Source organism: Homo sapiens, chromosome 3 (assembly GCF_000001405.40).
Source record: "Homo sapiens chromosome 3, GRCh38.p14 Primary Assembly".
Taxonomy (NCBI): Eukaryota; Metazoa; Chordata; class Mammalia; order Primates; family Hominidae; genus Homo; species Homo sapiens.
The window spans coordinates 157,626,411-157,634,625 of NC_000003.12; the positions used below are offsets into that span (position 1 = coordinate 157,626,411).

Genomic DNA, 8,215 nt, shown 5'->3' on the forward strand with positions numbered 1-8,215 from the left:
ATCATTTAAAAACTTATAGAAAAAGCCACTCATATGTTAACTTCTCAAATATGACATTGGCTGCTAGCTTAAAACTGGTGTATTATAGTCAGGTTGTATCAATAAGCTGTATCTTTCAGGTCATAAGCATCAGTCACTTTAGGAGACAGGCAGGCTACCGAAAAAGAAAGTCTTGGAATAGAGTGGCACTTGCTTGAAGAATCTCATGCTCCACACAAAGGGCTTCACGGGGACCTTACCAGAACAATGGCGGTATCGAATTTTGAATCTTTTATTTTCCAATCTCAACTCATCCTTGTGTGCACTGTAGAATATCTACCAAACACACATTTGACCACACAGTGTCTCCTTTCAGACAGCTTGGCCTAGAGCATCATGTTTCCCCTACTCACCCCACAGTTCTAGCCAAGAGGGCAGGAAGGCATATCCTGGCCTCTTCTTCAGCAGCTGTGGACTAGTCGTTGGCATTGTGAGCAGAGTGTCACTGAACCATTGCTCTAGATCAGGGATATACGCTGTGGAGCAAAGGTGGGAGTGGCAATATGAGTTCCCAGGAAGAGTGATTTCAGAGCAGTGTGGAACCCTGGAATGGGATGAGTGAACTTGGGAACGTTCCAACATGCCCCAGGTGCTTCTGACTGTCCTCTCCCACTAGTAGAGATAAGCATCTCCAGGTAAACAAACACTAGCCTCTTAGTACCTGTATAGTGCAAATGAAAAATAGAAGAACAACAAATTCTTTTTTTGGTCAATATTTCCTTCTTTCACCATTTTGCAGTAAATAGTGGGCAGACAGATGGTTTGCTTCCAGATGCACAGGTATTTCCAAGTGTGATGAGGTGGTAATGTTGTCTGTTTTATTTCTCTCTTCTTAAGTGTTTATATTCTCTTTATTATATCATTCTCCCACCCCCTTGATTCTTGTCTTGTTTCTTTGATTTAGAAAATTGTTTTTGAACTATTAGACAAGTACAGAAAATAATTAAACATCTTTACCCATTTCCAAGAATTAATAAATATTTGTATTTTGTCATATTTCCTTCAGATCTTTTAAAAAGCTTTTGTTGAGGCAGAATTTATATGCTCTACAGTTCACCTATTTAAAGTGTACAATTCAATGGTTTTTGGTATAATATATTCTTTTTTAAAATTATGGTAAAATATATATGACATAAAATTTGCCATTTTAACCATTTTAGGTGTACAATTTAGTGTCATTAATTACATTCATAATATTGTGCAACTACCACCACTATGGTTTTCACCACCAAAATTTGATCATCACCCTAAACAGAAACTTCATAACCATTGAACAAGTTCTCATTCTCCCTTTCCTTTGACCTTGGTAATCTCTAATATACTTTCTGTTTCTATGAATTTGCTTGTTCTAGACATTTCACATAAGTGGAATCATACAATATTCGTTCTTTTGTATCTGGCTTATTTCACTTAGCAAAATGTTTCCAAGGTTCATCCATATTGTAACATGTATCAGAATTTCATTTCTTTTTATGACTAAATAATAGTCCATTGTATGTATAGATCACATTTGAAAAATCCATTCATCAGCTGGTGGACACTTGGGTTGCTTCTATCTTTTGCTATTGTGAATAATCTTATAATGAACATTGGCATATAGTTATCTGTTTGAGTCCCTGCTTTTAGTTCCTTTGGGTATATAATTAGATGTGGAATGGCTGGGTCATGTATAACTCTATGGTTAGCTTTTTGAGGAACTACCGAACTGTCTTTCATAACAGATGTACCATTTCCCCACAAGCAAGGTATGAGAATTCCAATTTCTTCACATCTTTGCCAACACTTATTTTCCATTTTTTGATTTTAGTTTTGGTTGTTGTTGTTGTTGTTACTGTTTTTTAAATAGCCATTTTAGTTGGTGTGAGTGAAGTATCTCATTGTGGTCTTGATTTGCATTTCCTAATGACTAATGATATTAAGCATCTTTTTATGTGTTTATTGGTTGTTTATCTTCTATGATGAAATGTTTATTCAAATTCTTTTCCCTTTTTAAAAAATTTGGGTTGTCTTTTTGTTGTTGCATTATAGGAGTTCTTTGCATGTTCTGAATGCTAAACGCTTATCAGATCATAGTTTCCAAATATTTTATCCCATTCTCTTGGTTATCTTTTCACTGTCTTGATAATGTCATTTGGTGCTTAAGAGTTTTAAATTTTAATGAAGTCCACTTTATCTATTTTTCCTTTTGTTGTTCTTGCTTTTGGTATCCAGAACTTTTTTTAAGGTGAGAAATAAAACACAGCTGGTAAAGATGATGTTCCCTCTGTATTCTTCCCCAATTCAGCTCCCCTTCCACCCCAGAGGCTACCATTATCACAAATTTGATGCAACATTTCCTACCCATGTTTTTATATAATCAATACTTACATATACATAAATCACAAACAACATTCTTTTGTATACTTTTAAAATTATACGTACATTTTATCATTTTTCTTTCTGCTGTTTTTTGAGCCAACATTTGAGACCTATTCATGTTGATCAATATTGACTTAGTTTATTCATTTTTGTGTTTATAATGTAGTCAATCAGATGATTAGGAAGTCATATTCAAAATATTTAGCAACTGGCATGGCTCTGGAACCAACCAACACACATAAACAGCAGTAACTCTGTATCTATGTGTACCTGCACACACCTGGCTGAATACCAGCCCAGCTTCCACACTTTATTTACTCATTCCATTACTGTGAAAATTTAGATTTTTCTCAATTTTTCATGATTATAAATAATACTGCTAGAAATATTCTTGTAGACTTCTCTTCATGCATATGTGTGAGAATTTCTCTAGGATACATACGTAGGCTAGAATTGATGGGTGGTCTGCTACCCACATGTTCTATTTTATTTTCCCTGTTGTATCAGAATTGTGTCTACGGCCTAAAGATTAGGACAAAAAATGTTATGTTCCCAACATTCCATATAACCACTATGAAGTCATGTCATAGCAGTTGTGATCAGCTACTTTCCAGGAGGGCATACTGAGAAGCACCAATGCTAAGAATAGGTTATTCTAATCACTTCCACCCAAGTCAACTTAAGGAGAGAACAGGAAGAAAGGAGGGGGCCTTTGGAGGTAGTACTAAGTTCATGAAGAGAGGATATTCCCTCTCTTCACATAACCACAATATTCACTATAAAAGCCAAGGAAGGAAGACCAAAGATAATCACTGATAAAGGTTTTCTGTGCATCTGTCAGAATCATTCTCCTTCCCTTCCACATATAACTCAGTCAGAGTCTGGTCCTCTTTCATGGGAAATTGGGTGAGAGCCTGGACCTTCAGAGTGCCTGATGCTGCCAGGGTGTGGAGGAGGAGGCAGGAGAGAAGATAGGACTGAGAGAGGGACACCTGCCCTCCCACCATTTAGCATGGCAAATATACCACTGCTGGTTTACATGAGTTGAGAGAACATCAAGGAGCATGCCTGGACTTCAGCCACCTTTGTAGTACTCCACCAGAGTGCCATTCTCTAGGGGAACATCATGCTCTGTCAAGACACTGAGGCAGGGTGGAGGAAGTGAAGGCAGGTTAGATCCCATGTCAGACAATTACTCAGGGGATAAGTTCCCATGGAGCCCTTCAAAGAATCCATACCTGCGCCCCATGAGAGCCCAGCAATTGGATGTTGCCATGTGGAGGAGGACATCAAGAGCTCATTGGCATGGGCCAGAGATGTAGCTAGCACTACAGGAAGAAGATTGCACCCTCACCTAATCACACAGGAAATAACTTTGCTGTTTTCCCTTTTCTCTGGAGACATAGAAAGTTGGTATCTGAGAGTCTGCCAGCTGGGACTCCACCTCCACCGGCTAAGAGAGCCCTAGCAGTAGCTGTAGCCAAGAGAAGGAGGAAAAGAGCTTCGCATCAGATAAGAGATCAATGCTTGGAAACAAACAGGACTGAGTTTTAAACACACCAATAAGCAAAAGGGATAAAAGCTAGAGAATTTGGCCAAAGGTTATTAAGAGAGCTTGTCCTCAGCTGGCAGGGAGACTCAACGTAGTGCAGTTTGGGCATTCGTCAGAGGGAATAAAATCTCATCATGTTTATTATCCAATGAGACTAGACTGCTCAATAAATGAGGGAACCTCTATCAACCAGTAACTGCCCAGGAGCTCTCCAATGGGAGCTAAATTATATTCCCCTCCTCAGGGAATGAGAGTTCCATTGACAATCTGATGGGTGTACAGTGATATCTTTAGTGTCATTTCTACTTGTTTAGATCTTCTTGTTATTCATGAAAAGCATTGATTTAGGGCAAAAACATCAAGAAAACAATCTGACCAAAACCCCAGAAAATTGCCAAAAGAGTCATCATTATATTGGGTTCATTTTTATTTTCACAAAGAGAAATTAGCTTGCCCCAAAATATTAGTGTTGAAGTAGCCAAGAAAACTTACCCAGTTCAATATTTTTCCTTCATCAGAATCCTGGCTTCCTGAGGACCCCTAAAACCTCTTCCTTCCCCCCTTCTACTCCTCTCCTCTCAGTGATGTCAGAGGCATCTGAAGATATGAGCCTGCAGTCCTGGGAGGCTCTACCTCTGGCCTTTTGTTCAGAACGTCTTGCTGGGTGTCCTGCTCTCAATTTTCCACCCATTTGCCTTACCCTGGACCTGCACCTCTGCTAGTGCTTAGCTTCTTCAGATGGGCAACCAGCTGGCCTGCCAGCCTAGTTTTCAGCTGCAGATTTGCCTCCACAACGATGGTTCACAGCTGAAGCCAATGGGCCGGGACTGTGTCTTGCCTTCTCCCCTCTGTCACCAACCCCCAGAGTCCAGTCTCCAGGTATCCTTGGTCCAGGAGGAGGGCTGGGCCCACCTTGAATCCATAGGAAGGGAATTTGAACACATTCTGCCTGCAATCCCGTTGCATTTTGTTTTTAATTTAAATGGATGGATTTGCAGGCTAATTGTTATCCTGCCACCCTCAGCTGACAGGGTGTATCAAGGGAACAGTCCTTGAAGGTAAAAGAGCCGTACAGCTGGATTTAAGTAATAAGACATCTCTCACAAACCTGCACAAGTTGCAGTTTGATGAAAATTACAGTCAAACCTTGTGTTGTAAAGTGCTGTTTACTGGAGGAAAGAAAAAAAATCCTGTAAGATATAGAAATAGTACGTGAGACAAGCTGGCAGGGTGCTCGGAATCATTATGATGTGTAAAGAATTCCTTGACAATGACGGATCACCTCGGGAACATCTGAGCGGGGCCTTTTGTTTATCTTCACTTGCCTTTGCATTTATGTCATGTCTTTCACTTGGGGGTGAGATTTCGTCTTTGAAAGTTGAAACGATTTTTAACTCCAGAAAGGTTTACTCGGTTTTCATGAACTTGTTTTTTTGTGTCCCCCCACCACACATCCCTCTTCTACTTCCCTCTCTCTCCTTATGCCTCTTTTCCTCCCTTCCAGCTGGGGTGTGTCAGTCCTGGATACCAGATGCAAAATGATTAAGCCAGTGCAGTTTTCCAAGTTGGACTCGTTATTGATTAGCACTTCCTAAATCAAACAGAATTGCTGATCGCTATTGCAGGGCATCCACCACTTGCTTGGGATCCAAGTTCTGTTGCAGTGTTTGTGCCTGAGCAGGCATGGGGGTTTTTGATGTGTTCCCCCAACTTAATCACTGCTGTTTCCTGCAAAGGAAGAAGAATGGCAACTTTCATCACCAATTCGTGTTTCTTAAGCTCCGACTGTGTGTGTGGCAGTGTGCAGTCACACAGGGGACTTTGACAATTAGCAGGAGCCACTGTCTTTACTCTCCTTAGCTGCGATAATTAATGCCTTAGGACATTTTTATGATTTGGTATGTGCCTGGCACATGACACATAGTACTGAGAGTGTCAGTTACATATGACTCTCTTAAAAGGATGGAGAATTTAACAGAGGTCATTTTGTCCATTTGATTTGTAGATACATTAGCAGGCAATTTGAAATGTTAGTGAAATAAAATTAGAGAGGTTCTGTTTGCAAATCAGCCACTACCCAGGCATCTGTCCAAGAGTCTGAGGACCAACCTCACTCTTACATCACCCTGTCCCAATATCTGCTCTTGGCGACATATCAGGACACAAGTTGGCAATCTCCATGAATATATATGTGTTTCTTTTCGTCCCTGCACCCTGTCCCCCAGCCTACCCTGGAAAGATACTGGTAAACTTTTAAAAACTTTTATTTTGAACAAACAAACTTAGCTGGGCGTGGTGGCGGGTGCCTGTAATCCCAGCTACTGGGGAGGCTGAGGCAGGAGAATCCCTTAAACCTACGAGGCAGAGGTTATAGTGAGCTGAGATCACACCATTGCACTCCAGCCTGGGTGTCAAGAGCGAAACTCCATCTCAAAAAAACAAAAACAAAAACAAAACAAAAAAACCCCAACTTTTATTTTTAGATAATTCCAAATTTAAAGAAAATTACAAGACTAATAAAAAGAACTCCTATATACCTTTTATATATCTTCACCAACTGTTATCATTTTGCTCCATTTCATTATCTCCCTCCCTCTTTCTTTATCTGCCCCCACCACACACATACACACACTCTTCTATAATTGCTTTTCTTAACCATGTGAAAGTAAGTTGTGTACAACGATTCTCCTTGTCCCTAAATACTTTAATGTATATGACCTAAGGGGAAGAATGTTCTTTTACATGACCACAGTATTATAAATTCCATTTAACATTGGCACAATGCTATTATGTAAATTTAGCCCATATTCAAATTTTGTCAACCCTACTGTTATGGACTGAATTGTGTCTGCTTAAATTCATAAATTGAAGCCCTATCCCCCAGTGTAAGGGTACTTGGGGAGGGGGGCCTTTGGGAGGTCATGAGGGTAGGGTCCGGGTCTGATGGGCTTAGTGCCCTTGTAAGAGGAGACACAAGAGTGCTTTCTCTGTCTCTTCCTGCCATGCAGAGACACAGCTAGAAGGTGGCTGTCTGCAAGTCAGGAAGAGATCGTTCACCAGACAAGACCTGCTGGTACCCTGATCTTGGATTTCTAGACTCCAGAACTGTGAGAAAATAAAATTTCTGTTGTTTAAGCAACCCAGACTGTGGTATTTTGTTCTGGCAGCCAGAGCTGACTAATACATGTTCCAATAATGTCCTTTATAATATTTTCTCCAGCCCTATCAAGATCTAATCATGAATCATGCATTACATTTACTTATCATGTCTCTTTAGTCTCCTTTAATCTGGAACAGTTCCTCAGCCTTTTACTATTTTGTTGTTTATGACACTGGCATCTTTGAAGACCACAGGTCAGTTATTTTGTATATTATCCCTCAGTTTGGGTTTGTCTGATGTTTCTCATGATTAGATTTGGGTTGTACATTTTGAGCAGGAATACTTACATAAGTAGAATTATGTCCATCTTAATGCGTCATATCGAGACGCATGATATCAGTTTGTCTCATTTTCAGCCGTTACCTAAGCTAAGCTTTTGTTAAAAGTTTGTAAACTCACTGTTGAAAAAGCTGTCAGAATAGGTGGCTAGTATGCAGTGTTGAAGACCTTGAAACCCAGCTCTAAGGATTAAAGAACAATTAGCAACATGTGATTTTGTGTCTGACACTTGATATTGACCAAATATGCCTAAAAGTGATCTCCTTTGCTCCTAACAGCAGCACAAATCCAATAGTTCACAAATTAGAACATTTTGAGTGTGACTAATGGTTTAGGAACATTTCACTTTTCACTTTCTCTTTCATCTTTCTCTCCATTCACATGTACTGAGAATTATTATTATTATTATTAAACCTGGGCTTTATCTTCCTTATCTATAAAACAAAGAGGTTGGTGTTGATGATTGATAAAGTTCTCGGTTCTTCCCAGTATCTACCATTCTTAATAACACAGGCAGAGCACCTGGAATTTGTGAAATATATAGCCTGGAATTTAGGAAATAGAAAAATACCCTTGCAAGAAAGAAATGATGGGGAAGAGCTTTGCCTCAATGTTCAGCATCCAGGAAGGGAAGGTTTTGAATAAAAGGTTGCCTCAACACAATTTAGAACCATTCTTACATGTTTCTCTGCTTTTTTGGCCACTGGACTATTTCATGAGAGATGGCTCTTATGCTTGGGAGGGCATAGAAGTTCTCACTTTATGAAATTTTTAAAGTTGCTACTTCTGGAACATAGACAATTTTTAAAAATCTAAGTTATTTTCTA

General features: G+C 39.6%; 1 annotated feature.

Annotated features, from left to right (window-relative positions):
- Positions 329 to 498: an enhancer, noted in NCBI's record as "experimental_65660 CRE fragment used in MPRA reporter constructs". NCBI's record gives its function as "activates a minimal promoter by MPRAs in K562 erythroleukemia cells, with activity observed for both the introgressed and non-introgressed 3:157344613 variant alleles {active_cell/tissue: K562}" and the evidence as "EXISTENCE:reporter gene assay evidence [ECO:0000049][PMID:34662402]".